The 27,677-nt window shown below is 34.3% G+C and overlaps 1 protein-coding gene across 59 annotated transcripts in view; it reads right to left on the bottom strand.

Annotated features, from left to right (window-relative positions):
- Window positions 1-6,014: 6,014 nt before the first annotated feature.
- The window catches only part of CSNK1G3 (casein kinase 1 gamma 3), a 104,873-nt gene continuing 83,210 nt past the window's right edge, over window positions 6,015-27,677 (bottom strand). For 36 of the 59 annotated variants that reach the window (XM_017009060.2, XM_047416765.1, XM_047416768.1 and 33 more), the window contains 3 exons: window positions 18,234-18,340; window positions 17,702-17,725; window positions 6,015-8,722 (listed from right to left, as the gene is read on the bottom strand). In XM_017009060.2, the coding sequence (XP_016864549.1) occupies window positions 8,668-8,722; window positions 17,702-17,725; window positions 18,234-18,340 (186 nt within the window). In that variant the 3' untranslated portion in view covers window positions 6,015-8,667. The remainder of the gene's footprint in view (window positions 8,723-17,701; window positions 17,726-18,233; window positions 18,341-27,677) is intronic. The other 23 variants (XM_047416763.1, XM_047416764.1, XM_047416757.1 and 20 more) reach the window with 2 other exon arrangements.

Genomic DNA, 27,677 nt, shown 5'->3' with positions numbered 1-27,677 from the left:
CGGCTCACACCTGTAATCTCAGCACTTTGGGAGGCTAAGGCAGGCGGATCACTTAAGATCAGGAGTTCGAGACCAGCCTGGCCAATATGGTGAAACCCCATCTCTACGAAAAATACAAAAATTAGCCAGGTATGGTGGTGCACACCTGTAGTCTCAGCTACTCAGTTAAACCAGAGGTTAGCTGAGATCGTGCCACTGCACTCCAGCCTGGGAGACAGAGCTAGACTCTGTCTCAAATTAATGTATGTGTATATATACACACATATACACACACGTGTATATATACACACATATACACACGTGTATATATACACACATACACACGTGTATATATACACACATATACACACACGTGTATATATACACACATACACACGTGTATATATACACACATATACACACACGTGTATATATACACATATACACACATGTGTATATATACATATACACACGTGTATATATACACACATACACATATATACACGTGTATATATACACGTATATACACGTGTATATATACACATATATACACGTGTATATACACATATGTGTATGTATACACGTATATACACATATGTGTATGTATACACATATATATACACACACACATATATACAGTTAGATCTAATGAATAAGATCTAGTATTTGGTAGCACAATGTGGCTATAGTCAACAATAATTTATTACATATTTTAAAACAACTAAGAATGAAATTGGAATGTTCCTGACACAAATGACAAATGCTTGAAGTGCTGGATAACTTAATTACCCTGATGTCATTATTACACATTGTATGCCTGTATCAAAACATCACATGTGCCCCATATAGATACCTATCATGTACTTGTAATAACTAAAAACAAAAACAAAAAAACTTTAAACCCAGAAATTCTGTAAATTCTTTATATGCCTAAAATCTAATCTTCCAGGAAATAGAGAAAGCAAAAATTGAAGCTACTATTCTGTACCACAAAAATGACCAGCAAGAGGAATTTGTTGATAAAGCAGAAGGGTCAGGCACCTTGAGAGAATGTGAGCATCTCATCTTAAGGTCTATGATACCTTGTGAAAAGAACTCAAGACTCTGATTTCATTTCTGCAATGAAAAGTGATCCTAAAAAGCAAAAACGTTTGAGAAAAGAGTCTCCTAACAAGCTCAGCTTTTAAAAGGGTATAGGAAATAAACGTAAAAAAAAAAGGTAACATCTTTAAGGTTTCATATTAGCTCGAGATTCTTTTTAATGCTAAAGCCAACAAAAAAAGAGCTCTATAATCTGTATGTGGAGCCATATGTAAAGGAAAGGCTGAGGGATGAGGAAGAGAATGTAAGGCTCAGCTTTTTAAAATCAAGAATAATCTTTAGCCTGAAAAGTTAAGTGGGGAAAAAGGCAAGAAGGAAATAAAATCCAAAACTCATGTCAAACTCAATCCAATTCCTTTTTTGATGGCATAATGAGAATGAGTGGGCATGGAAACAGACCAAATGGTTTACCTGGATTTCAGCAAAGCTTCTGATAAATAGCTAATAGTAATTAAGTGGTGTTGAAGGACTCATACATTACAGAGAACATTTAGACATGTTATTGGTTCAATGAATACTGACCTTAACATGGACTACAGCTGCTTCAGACAGGACTGATATTGACCTTAACATGGACTGCAGCTGCTTCAGACAGGATTTTGCCTGGTCCTCTCCTGTTGTCATTTTTATCAATAAATTAAAGATTTCGAATTTGTTGATGTCACTAAGTGAGGCAGAATGGTAACTGTACAATGTGATAGAATTAGGGCCCAATATTTTTAAACACATAGAAATAATGGTGTCAATCTAGGAAGACAAAGTCTAATAAACACCAGACCTTATTCTCGTCTTAAAGAGAAGTGTACACACTGTATGAGAAATCAAGGTGTTGCTCAGTTTAAAAATTGTACTTTTAATGAAAGTAATGGTAAATGCATTGAGAGCTATTATAAAGATCATCCACTAATCCTCAGAATCACACTTCAAAGTAGGCATTATCTCCAGTTTAAGGTGAAGAAACAGGGTAAGTGAGTTAACTTGCCACAGTTCTCACAAGAAGTTTAGACTGAAATTAAATTTGTCTAATTCTGACATTCATGCTCTTTCTAAAGCTGCACACTGCTTCAATATCTAAGTTCATACGTGAGCCAGACTTAGACCTCATTTGATTTCTAACTCCCATATGTACTGTGGTTGCATTTTCCATAATATTTTAATTCTTGGTGCTACTTCAAAATGAAATTTTCTTTCATAAAAGGAGGAAAGGTCATCTTTTGGTAAGCAGTTTCATGCAATTAGGTAAAAACTAATTTAATTCAAACATTCAAATCTTTCCAGTGTGGCACAGAACAAATGTTGGCAAACTATGGTCTGCAGGCCAAGTTCAGCCCACCTCCTATTTTTGCTCAGCTCACAAACTAAGAATGACACTTAACATTTCTAAATGGTTGAAAAAAATTAAGAGGGAATTTTATGACACATAAAAATTATATGAAATTCAAATTTTAGTGTCCATAAATAAAATTTTATTGGAACACAGCCATGTTCATTCATTTACACATTGACTATGGCTGCTTTCATGCTACAAAGGCAGAGGTGAATAATTGTGACAGTAACCATATGTGGTGCTTTCATTGTTTTGCACTGCTATTCAACATGCTACAAATCTCAGTGATGGCTATAAAACTCAACAGCATTTCAAGTGTCATACATATTGTCATACGGACATTTTATTATTTTTTATTACCAGTGCATATACATCATGTCAAAAAAAGTTTTAAAAAGTGGACTTTGAGTGTTGCACTTTTAAGGCACAGTGGAGTGTGAATTGTAGTAGAACTATATGGCAAAGCATTGTGTTTATTATGCAATGACACTTTCACTGTGCTCAAAAATATATTTCCAGACTAAGCACTCATCACAATATTCCCAACCCACAGGAAATCAACAGAACAATTAGAAAACTTAAAATGTAGTATCTTATCACAGCATAATCTACTAATTTAAAAAATTAGAATAAGGGTGTAACCAAAGTAACTTTCTGAGTGGCTCATTTGTTAGCCAAGCAAAGACAGCTATATACTGATGGTGAGTTAGAGTTAATTTAATTGTGTTTGATTGTAGCAACCAGAAAGTGGGCCCAAACAAAAACTTCTTTATGACTACTAGCTTTTCAGCAAGAATACTTGCTTGGAGACATGAGGACACTGTGGCAACACCAACAGTTAATTAAAAAACAAGGCAAATGATTTCAAGTAGCTTTGCTTGGCTTTTGGTGAGTCAACAAATGTTACCAATACTGCCCCGTTGTATACTTGAGAAGTCAATGCTGAGTTTGAAGTGACTCAAGAACTAGCCTTTATGAATAGTCTGCATACAATAACTACAGGAAAGAATATTTCAAAGAAGTCGAGAAAACACCAATTTAGTACAACCTGAAGTAGAATCTGCTAAGATGTGTGGCAATTCATGGTGGTAAAAATGTGTGAAGTGGCCAAAAAAAAAAAAAAAAAAAAGAAAAAAAACCCGCATAGCTGAATAAATTGCTCAATGGTTATATGGTGCATTATTCATCAGCAGGTATTTGTGGGAAATATTTGAATTGTCATCCAACTAGTAAAGTCAATGGTAAATTTTATTCACTTGTGATCTTAATCATCATTGGTTCCATTTAGTTTTGTTAGAAATAGAAGTTGAGTATTCTGACTTGCCCAATTACATAGCGGTTTGATGGCAGCAGTAAAGGTTTTTGGCTTTGTTTGTTAGACACAGGATCTCACTCTGTTGCCCAGGCTGGAGTGCAGCAGCATAATCATGGCTTGCTGCAGCCTCGACTCCTGGGCTCAGGACATCCTCCCACCTCAGCCTCCTGGGTAGCTGGGACTATGGATGCATGCCACCATGTCTCGCTAATTTTTTGTAGAAACGGGGTTTTGCCATGTTGCCCAGGTTGGAACGGTAGTTTTATTGTAATTTTTTGAGCTCAGAACCAAGACTGAATTCGTTATGGATGAGGAGAATCACCCTCAAACTATTTTCAAACACTGAATAGCTTTGGAAATTAGCTTTTGCTGCAAACTTAATAATGCTTTCTAATAAATTCAACCTACAATTATGAGGCAAAACAGCACTTACATGTGAAACATACTGTGACAAGGTCATTTTGATGGCAACAAATGTTGTTTAAATCACAAGTAATATCAAGCTGGCTTTATATATTTCCCATGCTGTCAAGATAAGAAACAAGATCTCCATTCCCGCACAAACTTGCAGTGAACGTATTTTCCAAGTTCTACTATAGTTCAAGCTGCATTACTGAACCTTAAGGCAACTGCAAAGGAAATTTTTCTATTTAATTATTCACTTAAATATACAATTGAGCATCCACCTAACCTTCAACAGGAAGTGATTAATATGCAATGTAATGACAGCTAAAAGGCAAATGGCAATAGCAGAATCTAATAGAATTCTATAAATACCTTCCAAATGATGAATATGATCAATTAAAATTACACAATCACAACTGATAACAGTACATGGATGTATCTATTTGAGTGAGAAGATGTTTTCAAAGATGAAATACAAAAAATCACATTACAGGCCAGCATTAACAAATGAATGCTTGCAATTAATTTTGAACCCCAATTTAGTGAGATATCCCCTCAAAATCACTCGATTCTTATCATTAGTAGCCCTGTATCACACAAAAAATTCAAGTATTAATATATTTTGAATTTTATCAATAAAATATATGTGAAAATTTTTCATTCTCATTAAATATATAAAAGCCTCAATTTTGCCTTTTGGCTCACAAAGCCTAAACTTTACCAAAAAAGATTCCAACCCCTAGTCTGGAGAAGTGCCAGAGTGTCTGACCATTTAAGTGAAATCAAAGTATAAATATCCCAATAAACAATTGGTTTAACAAAACCATTTTTATATCCCAATAATATTACCTGATCATTCTTCTATATATAGTCCTTTCTTTGGTTATGATCCATGTAGTCTTATGAACAAGTAAATGTCCTAAGAAAATAATTTATGTGGGTCTGTATTAGAATTGGGCAGAGAAGAAATTAGTTATCCTGAATATCAGCAAATCTTTATAATTCTATTTGCACTCTAGTAGAAAAAAAAGTTTTTAACTCTTCTCAACCAGTTCCATCACCATTGTGTCTCCTCAAGGTCAAACCATGACTCAGGCTCAGCTACTGGGAGAACAATATTCCCTTGTCCATAGTAATTGGCTCAGGGGTGGGCACATCAACCAATAAGGGAATGTCAGTCTTAAGCTTCTGTTGGAAATATTGAGAAAAATGGCCCTTTGTTTTTGCTGAGACTACTAAGATGGTAGGGTAGAAGTCTCAAGCTGCTGGATGACCACTTTACCATGACACATGGAAAGTCTTCCTGACAGTGAAAACAGCAGGGTAGGAAAGCAAAACCAAAAGATATGGAGAAGATTCCTGTCTTAACTCCAGGATTAAGCATGTCTGAAGGCAGTCCTACCACTGAACTTTTCAGTTAAATGAAATAATGTACACTCTTATTGCTCAAGCCAGGTTAAATTCTGTCACTTTCAATTCAAAGAGTTCTGACTAATGCAACTATACATTCATTCAGACTGAAATCCCAATCTTAAAGTCGAATTTTTCTAAATAGAGCCTTTAACAGTTTTGTGTCATCTCCAGATCTTTCTCCTGCTTCTGAAGGTCTCTGCTGCTTAATGGACACAATATTCACAGGGTGAGAGAGGGCTGCTTTGCCTTTTCTTACCTGTAGCATCCCTCAGTAAGTAGCGTACCATTAATGCCATTTTGTAAAATCCCTTAAAGCACCTAGCACAATGATGAACTATGAGATACTGTTAGAAATATGGGCTCCCCATCTACAATGATTTTAAAGTCATTCACTTAAAACTGGAATAATGCTTAATTTCTGTGAACATAATAGTATGATTCCATTCTCAAAAAGGAAAAATGATGCTATTTCCCTTAATTTATCAGAAGATGTATTTAATTATTGCTCTATTAAACAGTTCAGAGAAGTATAATTTTTTTTATATTAAAGAAAGCTTAGATCCTTCCTAGTGTGTGCTTTTTACCACTGGATTTCAAGAAAGCAAAACAAAACATAAAATAACAAAAGCATATTCCTTTAGCTCTGCTTCTCATATATAACAGACTAAATAAACCAAATTTTTATAATTCCTATCTTAAATTAGGGAGTGACATTATTTTACCCATCTTTAGAGGAAATGGGAAAGAGCAAGTTTAAAAAAACTACTTTTATTTTTTTTTATTTCTTTTTCAGTTACATACTTTTAAACAGGGATGTGTTTCATTATTCAGACATTCAGGCAATGTTGACTTCATTAGTGTTGACAGAAAATAAGCATAAAAATGCAAAACATTGTTGGCTTAACCTGAACATACCTGCATTACCTATTATTGACCAGTTTGTGTTGCCAAAAGACTTATTCCTCGGCATTAAAATGGAGCACTTAAAAATATTGCTAAAAAGCAAATGCCTACACACTGGTCTTTGCAGCAAATAAGGGTATTTATACTTTTAAAATATTTTAAGTCCATAATTGGATTAATATACACACCTTCTTATGTATAAGGAGTTCAGATCATATAAACACTGTACAATCCAAAAAACCCTACTGAGAATAAAACTAAATAGGCTTATGATAAGAAATACAGATATTCGCATGTATTTACAAATATCATAGACACACAAGTTTGGTCAAATACTGTAAAGAAAGAAGAAGTGGTTTCACATTATAATGGCCAAAATGTTTATCTACCTTGCTCAAAGCAAATAAAAATATAAACTCAGTATGTAACTCCTGCAGTTTAAGACATCATGACAGTATACAGATAGATAGAAACTGTTGACCAAATTATACAGCAAATGTTTTGTAGGTTAAGTGTAGGTCTTTAAAATAAAAAAAAGATCATTCATAGGATTCATAGCAACAATGATAAACAATGTCCTGATTTGTGGTGTTCATGTGGGTGCCTAATTCATCAAAAAAAAATGCATTAAACTTTTGGCTAATAAGAAAAATAAATTACAAAGTACAATTAAATCCCTGTAAATGCAATAATGAAGTAAAAAAATGTAGCTTTACTTTAATATACATCTTAAATGTTACCTTGAGACAATAAAAATAAATAAGCATGCCTGGAGGCACACACTTAAAGACAACGAAGAGACTGCATGGGAGGAATAAGTAACAATTATATAAATGAAAGATGAATATGAGATTTATTCAAAATAATTATCTTTCTAGCCAGTCTTTGTTTTAACCCTTCTTGAAAATTTTGGCTAGTAGAATGTGACAAAACTACATGTGTGTCTTTATGGCTTAAAACAAAGCATACTTGAAAAGTGGAATGGGCTTCCTTTTTTACAGAATTTTTTGTTGTTGTTGTTGTTGTTCATATGCAGGCACTTCAAAAGACTATGGAGGCAAAGCACCTGACCCATCCTTTCCAAAATATTTTTCAATCATCAAAATTATGCTAAAGAGTAGGAAAATTCCAGAGAATCAGCAAAGTTGAATACAAGAGACTAATGTGCACAGAGGGCATAGAGTGACCCACTTTTTATTGCTGGGGGTCTTTTTTTTAATCAAAGAGCAAAATAATTACACAGACACCATTGCATGGCACATCCAAAGTTTTCTGCTTAAGGGAGAATGTAATCATTCAGCAGTAAGTTTCGGTGAGATTTCTTTAGGCTTCCACCTTATACACTGCAACAAGGTTCACATTTACTACCTCTCCTTAGTGTATTTCTTTATAACTCCAACATACATCACTTTTTAAAGTATTCATTTCTTGCTGTCTAACATACATTATTATTTGGAAGCATAAAGTTACATTGTACAAATATTTTGCATTTTTAAAAATAAGCGCTTTTGCCACTTCTGCAACACAGTACTTCACATAGTGATGCAACAAAAGCGGAGCACATATTTACCACACTCCTTAAGATTCATTTTACCACCACCATCTGCCGAACCCATATTGCTTTTTCCTCAGTACCTCTGGGCAGTGACTGTACCATGATTTCACGGAGAGAATGTTAATATGACTTATGAATAACAGTACCATCAGTAATACTGAAATCAATGCAGATGTCACAAAATATGAACTTCTCAAGGAATAACTTCTTTTAAATATTTGGGCAACTCTGTTTTCTCTGTTGTATTATCCACTGAGAAAAGAAAATTCCTGTTTGATTATGCTCTTACAGAAGTTATAAAAAACCAGATTAGGTATATAACTGGTTGACACTTAAGATACTGTACTGCTTTCTACAACAGAAGAACTTCTGGAAAATGTTCTATGGAACTATATTCATTGATACCACCTCATTGGTCCATTCCATTCACTGATGGGCAAAGCACTCATGTTTTGACAAAACTTTAAAGCTTCCATAAAGGTTAAATTAGAGAAAAAAAAAAAAAGAAAAAGAATGTAAGACAACCACAAAATGAAGTATGAAAGTATGACATTTTTGTTTCTAAGAGTGAGTCCTTGAAAATATACGTGGTCACTACAGAGATGATTTTAATCACAAGACAGCAGATGAACATGTAAGTAACTCCCCAGGATCTGTCTGTGTCCAGAGTCATTTGTGGCGCTGTATGGTTTTCCTTTTCCTTCGTTTGAAAAAACAGCAGCACCTGCAGATGAGGGAAACACTCTTTTTATTTTAAAAGCACTAAAATATCACAAAGTTGACTGTATCACTTTAACTTAAATGATCATAAAAAGCAACAGGCTAGTGCAAGATAAACAGTGATTACACCAATGAAGCATACGTATTAGTGAAAATATGGCAGAGCTATTACTATTATGTTTCATTCACATGCCTTTTAAGAATAGCAAGACATTCTATGCAACATAAAAAGGAGCCATTAAATTCAAAAGGTTTTTCACTAAGAGTAATTAAGAATTTCATTCTATGCATTCTCACCCTTTCTCCCTGATATTTATATGTGACTGTTGAAGCCATTAGGAAGGCAATAATGATCCTAACATTGGGGAGTTTATTCTCACCAATAATCAGTTTAGACTCCAAAAATAAAAAGACACTCCAATATACACTAGTCAACATTTTCCATCATATTAAAAAAGTGAAAGACAGAAAATACATTATATAGAATACCAAGACTGGCAATTTTGAATTCTTTAAGGGTTAAAGAAGGTCAAGCTTATTGAAAGTTTAGTTAAGGTAAAAACTATGCTTAATATTTAAAGTAGCACAATTGAGGTGATTCCATTTTACAAGTCAAAACTGTATATGCAAAAAAATATAATACTGACTTTTATTTCTAGGTGAAAAAAAATCTTGGCTGGGCACAGTGGCTCATGCCTGTAATCCCAGCACTTTGAGAGGCCGAGGCAGGAGGATTGCTTGAGCTCAGGAGTTTAAGAATTCAAGACCAGCCTGGACAATACAGCAAGACCCCATCTCTAAATATCTCTCTCTCTCTAACTACATATACACATACACAAATATCTCTAAATATATATATACACACATACATATATAAATGTACACACATATATTATATTATACATACATACGCACACACACACACACACACACATGCACTGGACATGGTGGCACCCGCCTGTTACCCCATCTCCTTGAGAGGCTGAGGCAGGAGGAATGTTTGATCTATGATTGTGCCACTGAACCCCAGTCTGTGTGACAGGGCAAGACCCTGTCTCTAAAAGAGGAGATGAACACATCAAGGCTGCTGTGGGAAAATGCTGTGGTCTGGTATGAACTGAAAAAATCACTGATCTGCTCCCACCAAAAAAAAAAAAGAAAAAAATTAAATACACATCTATCTTAAATGCCTCACAATCCTTCAAATAAAGGCATGAAGGTATGGCATTTTCCCCTTCCAGACATAAAAGAGTCTATTAAAATATACAACATGACAGACACTACATATAGTTAGGCACCTTTTCTTTTAACCTTTAAACAGTCAACCCCTTCCTAAGGTTGAATTTACTTTTGGCGCAGGCAAGCATGGTTGAGTATCCCTGGTTTCCACTGAAGTCCTCTGTGGGTATGTGGGCATGTTTATAAATCATATTTTGTAATAAAAGCAAAGTATATTTATATACATGGTGATTTCATCATCGAGAGCTGCCAATTCAGACTGTGTATAATATGCCCTTATAAAGATGTTTCTATAATTCTTACTAATCTATATTCATAGAAGAATAGTTTTGGCCAGGAGGGGTGGCTCATGCGTGTAATCCCAGCACTTTGGGAGGCCAAGGTGGGCAGATCACAAGGTCAGGAGTTCAAGACCAGCCTGACCAACATGGTAAAACCCTGTCTCTACTAAAAATACAAAAATTAGCCAGGCGTGGTGACAGGCACCTGTAATCCCAGCTACTCAGGAGGCTGAGGCAGGAGAATCACTTGAACCCAGGAGGCGGAGGTTGCAGTGAGCCAAGGTCGCGCCATTGCACTCCAGCCTGGGCGACAGAGTGAGACTCTGTTCCAAAAAAAAAAAAAAAATAGCTTCAAGTGTCCCACCCGGCAAAAGATTACAGAATATAAAATAACTACTAGGTATGTTTTATATACTTCTGTGAAATAAATGTAAACAGAAATCTACACTGTCCAGTTAAATTACATAATCTCTCTACCCACATTATCTTTAGTCAAAAATAATTTTAAATTATTTATTGTGATTTCTGCCATAATTATGAAACTACTATGAGGGTACTGCAAACCAAATTACACAACTGCATTTTTTTAAGTAAACCAAACAGTAAACACCGACTAGACCGTGGAATGTAAATAATTTAAAATTGTGGACCAGCTGATAAAGATTCAACTAGAAATATATGTAATGATGAATGTTTATCAACTTTACTCTCATGGAGGTGACTAGCAGAAAGAACTGAAATGGATTACCCAGTCAAGAGCCTAGAGAAGAGCTGCCACAGTACAACAAGACTACACATGTAAGAGATTTGATCTGGATTTAAAAAAATAAGTCAAATTTATTTTTAACTGTCAGCTACCTAATATTTCTCAAATCTCAATTACTTTCTAAAAGATAAAATCCTTTACTCCAAATGAACCTTTAAATTTAAGACTTAGAAAAGAGCAGAAAAATATCCAAATAGCAGAAAGCAAGACATAAAAATAGGTATTTAGAAGTGACAGACCAAATACTTAGAATATTAAATTTAAGAATATGGCCATATTTCAATGGAAATTTATTGTTTGATATAAAATTCCTTTAATAATGTTCACTATTCTTAAACACTATCCTTTCAAATTCCAAAGTAGATTCTTTCAAAATTTTCTAAAGTTGTATTAGCCCTTTGAAATGGGCAATTTAATGTAATACACATTTTGATGAACAAGACAAAGTCCCAAATTTTCTACACTTGTATCAGCAATTTACTTTGCTTAGTTTGTATTTCCAGTACTGAGAGTTCTGAGAGTTGAGTTCTGAGAGTTGAGTTCTTTACACTTAAGTAATCTTTCCTTCAACAGTGTTTTACTGAACTACGCCAAGCATTTATTTGAGACTAAATAAGATTTTCAAATAAATTCTAATGGCCCTTAAATTCAAACACAATCTAAAAAGGACATCTATTTTAAATAATTCCCACTAAATAAAGAACGTCCTTATAAAGATTTGCAAAAGTAAAGCTGGCATGCTATTAAAGTTACTACCACCAGAGGACAGCATTGCCTTATGTGATACAAATGCATCCAAATAGACAAGAGAGAGGTTCTCAAAATACGATATACTTACAGAAGTTAGGAAGTAAATTGATGTTTTAACCTTATGGCTTATTTCTTAAGATAAAAGTAATTACCGAAACAGCTAATTTATAGTCTTAGAGATTAAGAAATCAGGTCTCATCTCAATTGCTTCCTCTTCCCCAGCACTTAATCTGAAACAGTGCTGCTCCCATGTAGCCACTTGAGCACACTATTGTTTTATTTTTCTGTAATAACTTACTCCTACTTTGAAATTATTTTATTTATTTATTATCTGCCTTTGCACTAGAATTTAAGCTTCATAAAGGACTGCTCACAGTTATAGCCCAACAAACTGGCACAAAGTTAGTACTTATTTAATAGTGGTCCTCCCACTTCAGCCTCCTGAGTAGCTGGGACTACAGGCGCCGAGCTGGTAAATTTTTTTTTCATTATTTTTAGTGGAGACAACATCTCACTATGTTGCCCAGGCTGGTCTCAAACTCCTGAGCTCAAGCAATCCTTCCACCTCAGCCTCTCAAAATGTGAAGCTACATCTCTACTCTAAAATTCTTTGGGAATATATGTTAAGTCCTACTTATGATGAACTTTAGAAACAACCTTAGTTTCTTTAAATACAATTAGGCAACAAACAGGCAATCAAAATGGATCAAAGTCCTAAAACACATACAGGCTTGTGCTATTGACACCGCACCACCATTTCTCCTTTGTTCATTGCCTTTTTCTTCATATATTTGTATATACTTCCTTCTCTCAAATCCACCCAGAAACTGAAGCATGTTTCCCTATCTGGATATGATGTTCTTATTTATCCCTTCTAAGATGACTCATTGCTCATCCTTTGGTTGAGAGACTGTTGGTACCTCCTAGAACTAACCACGTAGGACTCCAGAACCTAGTTTCTCCTGACCTGGGTTGATGAGTGTACAGAAAGTATATTTTATGGCATCTAATCTTTAATTCTTTGACAAAGAATATTTCCCCTTAAGGTTTAAACCTGAAGTGTAATTTCATATCTCTGGATCTCTTGATTTAAAGAAAAAACGAGGAACCATTTAGCTAAGCAAGAAGAGTTTAGATCAGAGAACAAGATCATCTACAAAATTACTCCAACCAAAAGCCTGCAGGCCCATCTTCATCTCCAATTTCTTCCTCCCTATCCACTTGCAACTAGTCCCTTAAGTCTGAAATGACTTTCAAAATTTTCCCATTTTCTCATGTTGGCTGAGTTCTGAACTTTTCAACTTGCCTCCACCACTGCTAAGCACCTTTTAAAGGACTTCCCAGTCTAAGTCTCTCCTCTCTCCAATCTGCCATCCAAATTGCCCCCATCATAAATATGCCATGCCCTTTTCCTCTCAAATCTCATCAATGATTCTCCATTGACTAAAGCATTAAGTTCACAGAGCTCTTCAAGAATTTTGTTCCCAACCTATTTCCACCCTCCTCTTAGTCTCATTCTCCATTAGGCTTCCTTCCCAGGTGGCCTATACTATGAATGGAAGGAAGGGAAAAGTAAGAAAAAGCAAAAATCTCCTTGTCATTCCCAGAACACACCACGTGGGATTTCTTACCTCAGTATCTTTGCACATGCTCTTCTTTCCACTTAAAATCCATTTGCTCTCTCCCAAAAGAGTTATACAGTCTCTGTCACTTTGTATTATAATTTTTATACCTCTCTCTTCCTCACTGAACTGATCTCTTGAGGAAATAAATTATTCTTTACTTATCTTTACAGTTCTAGAGACTATCAAAGTCCTGAACACTTAGTATTATAGAAACTAAACAAATGGTCCAATACTATAATCTTAAAACATTTTTTAAGGAATAGTTTGTTTACTAGAGAATACTAACCCAAAATAGAAATTATCCATCTAGTTTCATAGGAAAACTTAATTTATATTTTTAAACCATTTTCTGCAATCTGCTGAACCCCAGGAAGTGACATAAGCCTCATAACTGCTGCCAAATTAATTTTCCTAAGGATCAACCTGATCATATTGTTTCTTGGCTTAAAACCACATGTCATTTCTTGGCTTCCTTTCTTGTGCTGAGAAAGATAATGTCCAAATTTGGTTACTGGCTACCAAGGCCCTCTGAGATTGGGAAATTAGCCTATCTCAGTTTTCATTAACGTGTTCATATATTCTCTGCCTGCATGAGTTACTCCTCCAACTGGTTCAATTCTTTCCTTGCGTCAACCTCTTCTCTCTGACTCCTTCTATCCATTTCCCTTGCCAAATCATTCTCATCTTTGAGAACTAGTGTAAATGCATCCTTACCCATGAGGACTTCTCCGATCTTCCCAACTAGGAGGACATACTCCATTTTCTGAACTCCAGTAAAAATTATCCCTTTCCTATAGTGCTAATCATGTAATACTTTGTATTAGACCAATGATCCTTAACCCTGGCTGCTCCTTAGAGTCACCTTAGAAGTTTTTTAAAAATACTGATAACCAGGCCCCACCACAGACCAACTAGTAAAATCAGAAACCTTGAAAATACAGCCTAAGTATTAGTACATCTTTAAAACTCCCTAGGTGACTATAATGTGAAATCAAGGTTGAGAACCATTGTATAAAAGTTGTTAGTATACTTTCCAACCAACTTAATGGTATGCAAACTTTGACATACCTTAATAATCATCACATTACAAAACATGATAATCTGTTCGGTAAATGTTGGAAGAAGGAAAGAGAAAGAATAAAGGATGGTTTCATACTACTTAAAAAGTAAATAATTAAACTAAATTATTTTGTTTTCCTAAGTTCCTGGAAGGAATGATGAAGGTGCTATCATTTGTATTACCTGTCTTAAAATTCTCAGCTACAGTAAACAAGAAAGACAAAACCTCATTACTAATGAAGCTAATCAGCTTTTCCATCATTTTCCATATGGGAGAATAGAGTATTTTCCATCATTTGGAAATCAAGTATTTACCCCAATGAGATACTATTCTCAGGAAACATGAGGATGCTAAAATGTGCATTATAGAATACATTCTAGTAAATGGGGTGGGGTGAGAAGGATCTCTGCTAATTATAGGTAAGAAGAAAGATGAAAAAGAAATTCTGAAAGAAAATTCTAAGCAGGTCCCTAGTTACGTGTCAAATGGTGGCACAGAGAAGAGAAGTATAAGATGCAATTTAGAAAAGGAGCTGGGTATGATGGTGTGCACCTATAGTCCCACCTACTGGGGGGGCTGGGGCAGGAAAATCACTTGAGCCCAATAGTTCAGGGCCAGCCTTGGCAACACAGCAAGATTCCATCTCTTAAAAAAGAAAAAAAATCATGCTCAAATTTCTTAGTCACAGATTAAGAGGGTATGAGGAACACAATAACAAACGTGTAGAAATGTCAGAATAAACCTAAAGAAAAAATCTTGTTTAAATAGAATGTTTAATCAGCAAAGAGGTAGGAAAGTTCTGAGGATTTCTGTAACCTACCTAACCCACCTGAAGTAAGGCTTCACTGATATTATGAGTTGCTATACTTTTTTTAAAACAACCATTTTATTAAGATATTTTTCACGTTATAAACTTTATCCTTTCAAAATATATAATTCAGTGTCTTTTAGTATTCAGAATTGAGCAGCTATCACCACTATCTAATTTTAGAACATTTCCATCACTCCATAAAGAAATCCCATCCTCCTCTTCCCTGCCCTGGGCAATCACTAATCTTTTGATGTCTATGTATTTGCCTATTCTGGACATTTCATTTAAATGGAATCACATAACATGTGGCCTTTTGTGTTTGGCTCCTTTCATTTAGCACAATGTTTTCAATTTCATTTCTTTATATTGTCAAATGGCAGTCCATTGTATGGGTATACCACATTGTTAATTATTTAGTAATGATTTATTAGGACATATAGCCACTAGGAATCTGAGGATGAAAAAATACCTGTTTTCAAGAAATTCAGTAAGTTTCAAGAAGTGGGAAGTACATACAGAGGATAACATAGCAAATGCAGATTTAAGGAACCAATGCTATATAAAGTTCAGAATGGAAAACGGAGCTGCAAAAATAGATGGGCCAGACTATGACAGGTATGAGAAGCCTTGGTGCCATGCCAAGAAATCTGGACATGATGTGGCAGGCAATGGAGAACCCTTCCTATAGCAATAGCCTTCCCACCACTTTCTTCTTTCACATCCTCCAGTGTCTACAGATAGGGACCCAAACACACACCCACACTCATCCCAACTAAATAACTGTGCCATTCTTCAGAGCCACCTCCATCAAGTATTCTCTGATCATCCAGGTCAGGAAGTAATCTTTATCTTTACAAGCTCTAACCATTTTTTAAAATACCTTTTTTATCGTATTAATCACATACTGACATATACTAGTACAACTGCAATCTTCCTGCTGGCTTGTAATCTACTTAAGAACAAGGACAGCATCAGGTATGTCAGAAACCTCAGCAGTGTAACTGCTGAATGAATAAATGGATAAATGTAATAGATTTTATTAAAAGCAAGTCTCCAGGAGGATGTAAACACAGAACAGCCAGTTTCAGTGAAGAGTGTGTGTATGGAAGTAAAAATATAGGACACAGATAAAAGAGGCACAAGCCCAAGAACAGAGATGAGAAACGTCACCAGCAGTTGGAAGAGAAGAAATAAATAGGGGTGATAATAGCTATTGAGTACCTGCCGTGTGCCAGACAAAATACCAGGGCTTTATCACATTTAATTTTCTCAACCTATGAAGTAGGTATTATTAGCTTCATTTTACAGAAAAAGAAACAAGCTTTCTTGAAGGTAACAAATAAGTGGCAGAAACAGGATTCTATAACCTATGTCTAACTGCAAAGGACATGTGCAGTCGAATCTGCCACACCACCACCCTACTTTCCTGTCTTAGGATTGTACCTAAAATTCCCAAACATAAGCTGTTGTTTTTATATTTGATTTAAAAACACACAAGTAAGACTATACTTTCACGGATTTATTTCTGTAGTTCATAAAAATATACAAGTATATAGCTAATTATATCCTGACATACACTAGTCTTAATCTTATGTCAATAAATTCTATAGTCAAAAGTGATTAAAATGGATTCTTAATCACTGCTCTTTAACAAAAAAAAATCCACAAAAGTTTCCTAATTTTGCAGCCAACAAATGAGCATAATTTTGAAAATTATATAAGGTGCCTTTAGATATGAGTAAAATATTTCAAAATTTACTAAACTAAGCAACTTCCTTTATTCACTCCCAGTCTGACTCAAAATTTGTCCTGAAACTGAGAGAAGCATTTTAAGCACAGTATTACAATTAAAGGCAAATGTCAGAAAATAATTTAAATCTAAAATTATTTCTATTAATGTTACTTTCCATAATATCTGCAATTATTAGCAACCATTTAGATGAGGATTTTTAAAATGGCTTTCTCACTACAAGGTTATCATGAAATTTATCAATATTGTACTCAAGGGCAATGATAATTGGTTAGTAAATGAAATACTGTTTTAGTGATACTACTGTGGGGGATGAGATCTGCTACATGTATTTAACAATTGCAAAGAGAAAAAAGAAAGCTTAATGCAAAAATCTATCTTTCTATTTAAATAGCAAATAAAAACTATTATAAAACAAATGCACAAGCACAAGCAGGGTTGGTGTATCATCTATGCAATTAAAAAGTGGCCCCAAATCTATGTCACTTAAAGTAAAAAAGTTGCAGCAGGCAAAAGAGCTCCTCAAACAATTATTTCTTGCTTTTCAGAGCTATCTTAATGATATCAAATACTTTTGAATAACTTTTACCAATTATAATCACTGTGTTGAGAGTTTTGTTTTCAAAAGACACAAAATGATGCTAAATCTTTGAAATTACAGTCAATGGAGCTATTTCTGCCTGCCTACACTTGAGACTCACCACATGTTCAACACTTTCTGGCAGCTATACGCACACACAAAAAAAAAAATACAAGGAAAAAAAAGAGAGAGAGAGAATCAGAAACAGCTCACATTGAAATTATCACATTGTTTTTCATGCTTAATTTTTTCCAAGCAATGTTGTTATAATTTATGTTTTGAAAAAACTAATTCAAAATATTAAAACATGCATTTTATAAAATTAATTTCTTATGCTTACAGAAAAAAGATTGATAGTACATCAATAACTTTCATGCATCAACACTCCTAAAACTCAAAAGCTAAAAATATGTTGTTAATTCCAAATAAGAATTTGAACACAGTTCTTAAATATTTTGTATTATTAAAATGTTTACTGGAATAGCACTATTTTAAACTCATTCTAGTGATTAAAATAATTAAGCATACCACTTGTTTTGCATGCACCTATTCCCTGAAAAAAATTTCCTGAAATAATTGTATGTAACTATAAATCTCAAGCATGCATAATTTAAGAACAAAAAGTTACTAAAACAAGTAAAACAAACACATACTTGGTTTCATCCATCACTTCTACTTCAGTAGGGGCTGTGATGGGTGCATTTGAACGTCCTGCGGTGGGGTCATCTGTGTTTAACTCTCCATTTGTAGAACTTACAACCTGTTTGAAAAAAAAATTTTTTATATATGTATATGTACACACACATGCTCATAAATATACATACATATTAAATAGGTTATACAAGGATAAACATAATTGTTAAAGTATTTCAATTAGAAAGTTAATGTGAGGAACACAAAACAATATGTAGCTGTTCATAACTAAATACAGTAATTGGTCTAGCATTTTATTAAAGATTAAAGTCATCTAATATGCGCTTTTCAACTTACTTCCTTTCCTTATTGAAATCTGTGTCTTCTGTCTCCTTCCCTCTGGTTTTTAAGGCTAACTCCTGCATGTATGTCTCAATCAGTTTCCTCTTGTGTGTCTATGTCCTCTGGCACCTTGCTATATCATGAATTACTTTCCTTGAATATTGAAAAACTTCAATATTACTCCTTCTAATGGATCCTTCACTTCAATCTGCAATTATGCTCAAGTCTCCATTTCAAACTGCCCATTTAAATAGAGACAACACCATTCATTCACCCAGTTGTTCAAACGTAGGGGTCACTGTGATTCCTCTTTAACTTAAAACCCACATCTAATCCATAAATGGCAGATCCTGTTAAATCCTTCTCCAAACATATCCCATATCTAATCAATTCTCACCATCTCTATTACTACAAGGACTCCAGTCCAAGCCACTATGATCTCTTATGTGATTAAGAGCAAAAACCTATTATCTAGTCTTCAGCTTTGTCCCCCACTCAAATGTATTATCCACACAGCAATCAGGGTGCTCCTTTTAAGATGCAAATCACATCATGTATAGCTCTCTGCTTAAAACTCTCCAACTGTTGGCTTCCCGTTTCACTTAGAATAAAAAATCTATATTCCTTACACAAATTGACAAAGTCCCACATGATGTGATGCCTGCCTACCTCTCTGAGCTTACACCATCTTCTCTGAAGCTCACTAGCCTCCATCCAATATGTCGAGATTCTTCCCACTTAAAGGCCTTGGCATTACCTATTGTCACTGCCTAGAATTCTCTTCCTACTTATTAGCTGACTTCTCATCTTTCAGATTCTCAAACAGCATCTCTGAGACAGGCCTTTTCTATCACACAGCTAAAAATTTCTATGCTGACACAGCACAGAAATTATGTTACACCCTATTTTAAATTATTTGTACAGTATTTATCAGTATTCATGTTTTTCTTATTTGCTTGCTCATTTATTTGTTGTGTTTCTTGACATCCATCCCTACCTCCATTAAAATTAAGCTCCAGGATAAGAGAGACCTTGTATTGTTTCCTGCTATGTCTCGCAGAGAATAGGAACTCAATAAATATACGTTGAAATAAATGAATGCATGTATGCATGAATGAAATCCTGAAACAAGATAAAAATGAGGAAATTCCCAAATTCTCCCAAATTCTCTTGTTTCTGCAAATTTACCTTATTATTTCTTCCTTTTCCCTTATCACTAAACTTTTTGGAAAAAAAAAATATATAACTCACCACTTCCATTTTTATAAAATTTTCCATGTGTTTATTCCTTTACTCCTTGCAATCAGTTCTCCAACCCTACATAAGAACTCTAATAAGAGTTATCTTAAAGGTTACTAATGATTCCTAGAAAATGTATTCAGGACACTTTGCTCGGTGCCTCATTTTCTTGTACATCAAATCACTTGGCGCTAGCTGATCATTCTGGAGTAAGATGGGTCTAGACTCAAAGCCTAGCTCTACCACTTACCAGCTATGAGACTCTGGGAAAGATACCTTACCTTGCTAAACCTCAGTGTTCTCAAGTATGAAATGGTGAACAGTAGCATCTAATTAACAAGGTTGATATGAGGGTGAGATGAGATCAATACATAAATGTTAATATATAAAGCACAGTGCCTGGCATATGGGAAGAGGTCAATAAATGGTGGCCATCATTATCACTATGTTTTATCTATAATGATGGCTTCAACTCTCACCTCTAGGTAAAGGACTCCCTGGGCCTAACCACTCACCCATATCCTCAGTTTGCTAAGCCAAGTTTGGCACCTTAAACTCTGCATTTCTAAAGGCAAATTTATCCTACTCCCTCTGAAATGTATTCTCTTCCCAAGGCTCCCATTTCAGTTAAAGCCCTCCCATCTTCCAGACTTCCAGGCTCAAAAATCTAAGAATTCTCTTTGATGCCCCTCCTACCCACTACCTAATCTCTTTAAATGAAATAAAAGGTTAGCAACCCTGTCATGGGCTACAGAGTTGACAACTGACTATTAGACTTAAAAGTAGTATTTATAGTACCTCATATTTCTAAGTTCTTACTTTAGTCTACAACATGCTTAGGCACTGTTCTAGGTATTTGGAATACCAAAGTAAGCAAGATAAACATCCCTGTCCTTCTAGATCTGACACTTTAGTGTAGAGAAACAGGACCCTCTCCAACTCCAAGGAAAGTATTAATATCTACAAATCAACCAACATATTTAACTTAGGAATTGTAGAAATTCAGTTTCCTATATCCTATATGGAATAAGTACTTAGAAATGAACACTGCAGTTGTGCCTACAGCTGAAAACATACAAAACTGCCTTGATAATCTTCAAAGGCAATCTAAAGAAAAGAATATTCTTACATCTAAGCATGCCTCTCCTTTTCTGGGGCACTTGCTTCCCCCTTTCTGTCATTCTATTGAACTGTAAATTTTTTCTCTTTATTTTTCTCTCTCTCTCTCTGAAAACATTTAAAAATAATTATTTTTTCTAATTATTGAACATAATTTTGTTCTTTATTCTTAATTTTGAAAATGTCATTGCCTCTGCACTAAATTGGAAAGGAGACACAAAGTAGTATTCTTATCTCACATATTCTCCACTACCTTGAACAGAGTGCCTGTATCCAGTACATAATCAAACAGTTCACTGAACAATTTCCACTGCTCTTTTCTCAACATACTATTCAACAGGTTTCCTATTCTCCCTTTAGTTCAATGGCCCTAGACAGCTAGCGGGATGCCACCTCAACTTACAGGCAGCTCCTCTAACATGTCTTCCCTTATTTTAAGCAGCATAATTGAAAATGAAAAACTCAGGTAGTCTAAATTCTAGCAACATTACATATTTTCTAGCAACAGTGACTATATATACACTGTAATTATATAATCGGATTTACTTCAGTTCACAGAGGAAGACTTTTTATACCTGACTTTGGTAAACTTTATTTTATTGAAATGTTTCAAACCCCATTTTACCTGGTTGACCAGAACCAGACCAGAAGGAAGCAACATCTTCCTTTAATGTAATTTTTCCAGGGTTTCCCAGATTCCCCAATCCTCTCAGTAAAGGCTAGTATCCCAAGTTCAGAATAGAATCACTGTGGTAACAGAGTTAAGATAGGATACTGCTGTTGACTTTCATAAACTGGCCTATTTAACACCGGTGACTTGAGAGTGTATCATGGCATTAAAATTATTTTCACTTAAAATTTGTGTCTTTTTGCAAAAGGGTTTTACAAAGAAGAAATGAAGATATACTACTGTAAATAATATATCATTATACTCCTGGAAGGCTAAAACAATCAAATATGCACAAATATTTTTATAAGCCAAATTCTAAAGAATAATTCTATTAAAGTGACATTTCTAGAATTATAACTTGAACTAGAAGATGAGTCTCTGAAATACTAGTGTACATCAGGCTGATTTCTTGAAAGCACATAAAAATGACAGATATTCTGAGGTTTGACATTTCAAAAAATAATTCAGGTATTATACAGGATTGTTGTTGTTCTTAAAAAAAAATTCCCTCTGACATTCCCAATTTGACAGGAAACTTAATACGGTTCTTATTTTAAGAAGATAAAAAAAAAAAAAAGGCAACTAGACTCCAGTTTTACTGTCAGAATTTAAGAGGGATGTTGGAAAAACAGCCCACAAGCAAGTGTGAGACATAATTGTAAACTTAACAGATGCCTGACAAATCCAATTCCAAAAGATGTTATTCTTATAGATTTCAGAGTACAGACATAACATATAGTATTTTTATTGTCAATGATTTTTAAAATCAATTAATGTACTTTCCAAATATAATGAATTCATACAAATTAGTTATACTACTGTCTTCCTAATTTCTTTCTTTCTTTTTTTTTTTTTTGAAATGGCATCTTATTCGGTCACCCAGGCTGAAGTGCAGTGGCATGATCTTGGCTCATTGCAACCTCCACCTCCCGGGTTCAAGCGATTCTCCTGCCTCAGCCTTCCAAGTAGCTGGGATTACAGGTGTGCACCACCATGCCTGGCTAATTTTTGTATTTTTAGTAGAGATGGGGTTTCACCGTGTTGGCCAGGCTGGTCTCGAACTCCTGACCTCAAGTGATCACCCGCCTCAGCCTCCCAAAGTGCTGGGATTACAGGCATGAGCCACCACGCCCCTCCTGTCTTCCTAATTTCTATTTGATACCTTGTAAGCAAGATTACTAAGTAGAACCTTGATACAATGTATGAATTAACCAAATATTTTAATTAGCCAAATTCTCATCTAATAATGTATTAGAAATACTAAAACATTATATATTTTATTTATGTATTCAGCTTTTTAAAAAGGCATCTATAAGAAAGCACACTAATGAGATATATTAACAGTTAAAAGAGTGACTTCCAAATAATTTCCTGAACCTGTGCTAAAGTATACATATACTATATGAAACCAACTTATTTACATATCCTAAAGACTAAAGGTATAATTGATACTCTTGGTATTCCAAAAGATGACCCTAAAGCACAGATAGTGACATGCTCACCAACTTTCAACAAAGATAAGCCAAAATGGATTTTCAATTAACTTTCACTTAGGATAATTATTTTCCTTGATCATCCCAGTCTTCAGAGATGTTACTGTAAATGTTATTGTAAAAAAAAAATAAATTCATAATGCTGATTTACCCCAATGATACTAGATAAGGAATTTCCTAAACTAGATGAACTATAAATTATTTATGTAATAAAGGCACATAACCATACTCCCTCCACAATCTCTCTTTTGCAGATTTCAGTACCCCAGAAAACTATGAATAGAAAGATGTGATTGTAATAGTCACTAGATTTTGTTCCTTGTTAATAACTGCATTTTCAAATATTTTGTAGACTGAAACTAGTATTAGAAATGTTTTAGAAAGGTCAGTATTCACGATTAATGTAATTGAGACAATAGTATCTACTATTCCTCTAGACTTTTAATCACGTTTTATTATCATCTCAAGATACATTTATTATCATCTCAAGATAATCCTTTTCAGTTATCACCAACTGTATTTATTTGTTCTGATGCTTCACTGGCTAAAAGATCAGACTGCTTATTACAACAATGAATGTTATTCTTTCGTTTTCCTCAACAATGCCTGGTTGCACAACATATCTGCACCATTTGTAATTCTGCCCCTTTTTCTCCCAAGTGCTCAGAGTCACATTATTCATTAGATTCAAACCAAAGACTGTACAACTATAAGAGATTTCCAAACAATCAGGAGGTATACATAGTACATGTACATAGTACAACCATGTAAAATAGTTTTCCAGCAGTGTCCTTAATGTTTGTCTTTTTCCCTTTGCTTACAGTTGCCTCTATATAGGATCAGATTTTCAGTTTGCACTGAGCTCGATGGATTTGTGCTACAGTGAAAAGCATAGCTAAAATGGAATTAGAGATTACTACTATCTGTTGTCAGTGGTATATTTTAAAACCTAATTTTGGGGATCTTGATTTGCCATGTAGAAACATGTCAAAAAGGGGTAACAACTGAACTTTTCCTTTCCCGTCAGCCCCATACCCAACTAAACTCTACCTTCTAATTCTTTTCAAAGCCTTTCATTTCTTGTTTATCCCCACTACCCAACATTTTTCCTCAACTACAGACTTTTGACAGCTGTATCCCTCATTTAGACTTGTCTCCTTTCAATCTAGTGTCCAGCAAACGCAATCTTTAGAAAACACTAGTCAAATTTGGTCTCCTAATCCCCCTTATGGCTACCCATTATCCTCAGAATAAAGCCAAATTTAGTAACAAGACCCGTTAGATCCTTCATGATTTACCTCCAGCCTACCTTCTCAGTCTCATTTCTCAACACACACCAGCTTGACTAAATCAGCTTCCTCAATATGTCTCTCTCTCCACAACCTTATTCATATTGTCTTCTCTGCCTGGTATACTCCTCTCTTGACCCCTTCTATCTTCAGTTGATTAACTCCCACTGATTCTTTACGTCTCAGTTTAGATGTCACTTTCCCCAGAAAGTCTTGACTCATCCAGGTTAGGTGCTTTTCGTATCAATTCTCCTAGTACCCTGTGCTATCTCCACTTATCACCCTGCCTGTTCATCAGCCTCCTTGACTGACTTCTTCATGGACACAGCCACCATGTCTTTACACACTTCTTTTCATTCAAGAAAACCTACAAGAGCCTAGCACATAATGAACACTTAGCAATTTGCTGAGTAATGAATGGCCAAGAAACTGAATGTGGTAGGTCTGAGTTTCTCAGCCATATTTATTACTACCAATGATTCTAAGAGGGAACCGAGAGGGGCACACTTGATTCCCCTAGGGGTTTTCCAGAACACAGGCTGATACAAAATAAAGGTAGTAGATATCTGAATATTATTCTTAGTCTCGTGAATGGAAAAAGTTTATCAAACGTACAGCTGTATCTTTTTAGCTAGTGACTTAACATGACTGAACTAAAGAGATAAAATAAGAAAAATCCCATTCATCAATGCTTTCTTTTGACTGTACCTCTAATACTTCACTTCCCAGAGATCAATAAAATGAAAATACTACTCAAGTTTCTTAATTTGCAAAAACAATAGATTCTACTTATCTAACACTTCCTAAGCCTCAACATCTATGCTAAATACTTTTTAAATTAAATTTTCATAACAAAACCATAAGGTAGAGGAATTGTTAAAATCCTCATTTACTAATAAATAATCTTGGCACAGAGTTTGAACTCAAATCTGACTGCAGAGCTTAAGCTCTTAATTGCAACATCATCAACCTGGTAACTCTCAACTTGGTAACTCTGTCTGGTCTGCTATATAATAATTCTGGAAAGGCAGGGAGTTCAAATTTAGACTCTGCTGATAACTTCTACTAAAAGTACATGTGAAATAAATACCTGAGGATCTTTCTATAGGTCAAAAATGGCAAGAGGTTTCATCTTACATGTCAACTCTAAACAGCCTGGAATGATTTTCAGTGCTTCACTGACAGCAATGATCAGTTCCAAGGAAAAGACTGCAATGATAGTGAGGAGTGAAAGCCATAGTCTTACCGAGGCTCATTTTAAGTAACTTGATTCTGTTTCTGGATATCCTAAACCTGCGTCACATTTCAATACCAGACAGTGACTTATTAATTAGGGAAATGTCTCTCCTAAAAAAACTATTTGATGACATACTCTTAGTATGTTTATTAAGAATAATTTTTTAATTGCCATATAAAGTCTTTGCATCTCCTGTAAAGCCAATGCTTGAAAGTTTGTTCAACAGGTGATTTAATGACCATTGCACAAATAAGCCCAAGGCAAATTCTTCTCATATTTTTGTATTACTGAAAAGTTTTTTTCTCTTTCTCTCCTCCCTTTATCAAACAATGAGAATAATATTAATAGAACATATTGTTTCCCTTTCTGCCTTCATTCAGAATCAAATATAGTATTCAATTATAATATCAGTTCAAATTTTAGGTACTTTTCTTTGCTCTTATTACGTTTTAATTTATAATTTCATTAGTCCAATTACACAAGGGTCACATTACAAATTTTCAAATAATTTTGAAAGTGTATAGGACATAAATTATAAATGAATTCAGTCTTTATTTTGGAGTGGGAAGGATTCAGGCATGATCCTACTTAGGCTGTCATATTAGTCCATCATATCATGTGTCAGTTAATATTACAAAATACATGAAGTCAATGAAAATACTATTCTTTGTTTTACCTATGTATTTCCATATTACTAGAAACCTATTAAGTTAATCACTTATTGAATATTAGGATGAAGTCAGATGTAGTCTCAGTACGCTGAAAACTCTTAGAAATAATGAGAAACGAGCAATGTTCAAACATCTCTGTGAAAACATGTGAAACAATAAACGTGAAGTAGTGAAATAATGAATGAATAATGAAATTCATTCACCCTTTGACAGTCCAAAGGAATCCCACGAGCCACCTCAAGGAATCACATAAGAGTAAGAAGAGGCTAAGAAAATAAATCTGGTAATGGTACAGAAATGGTAGGAAAATTTTCTAATAGTGCCTTAATTGTTACACTGAGCAAAAACACTTGCACACATACACACAAACTTAAAAACATGTAAACATATACAGATACATACAAAATATAGTTTGTGTTATGCAAATAGAATATATTTGCTGAATTAGCTTTTCTAACTATATGAATTGAAGTCATAAAAATTTTTACAATTTAGACACTCTTGCCTCTAAGTTCTTCACCCTAGACTTTTATAGATCTACTCAAATAAGTCTACCACACATTACTGAAAATTCCATAAACTGCAAAATTCTACAAAAGTACTCCATTATATAATTTAAATTACCTCTAAAATTTAATGATGAGAAAAACGTGAGGGCTCATAAGATTTAATCATAATTTAATTTTTAGAACTCAAATCAAGAAAGAATAGCACCCAGAGTACAGAATCAGTTGATTAAATATATACACTAAGAAAAATGCAAATTTGATAAAATGGCAAATTATTCAAGTGAAAATATGTAAAGAAAAAAATGAAAATGTAAAAAAAATTCTAAATTGAAATGTACTGGGATAACATTTGTTATCTCACTTACTTTAAGCTGGCTTTTAGATTACCTTAAACCGATATTTTAAAAGACAATACGAGACTCAGCAATCTTTCCCTATTTCTACAATATACATAAATGATTAAAATTTATGGGGCAACGGAGGGCAGAATATATATAGTAGCGGTCTCTAAGTGTATAAAAAAGGTGAAAAGAAACAAATCATAAATAAGGGACTGCTTTGAATTTATCTAAAAAGCCATACAATTTATTGAGGGGAGTATTTAATAAACACTTCTTATTAAAATTTCCATCTGATATTTTCTATAAGTACAAACAAAACATGTATTATAAAAATTAGGGTCATGTTCGTTTGAACAATTAATCAGAAAGTACATTCTGAGTACTAAGGATGAAAAAAGATATTTAACTGATTATGTTTGAAGGAGGCAAAGTCAATGAATGGGAAAAAATACAAAAATGTTCTATTAATTTAAGCATTAAAAAGACTGATCTTATTATTGGAAAGTCAAGTTTAATACCTATTTCAAGCATAATACCGTTTGTTTTTCTAATCT

Source organism: Homo sapiens, chromosome 5, assembly GCF_000001405.40.
Source record: "Homo sapiens chromosome 5, GRCh38.p14 Primary Assembly".
NCBI lineage: Eukaryota > Metazoa > Chordata > Mammalia > Primates > Hominidae > Homo > Homo sapiens.
The sequence above is the reverse complement of the archived record's forward strand: the minus strand, read 5'-3'. Positions and strand labels throughout refer to the sequence as shown.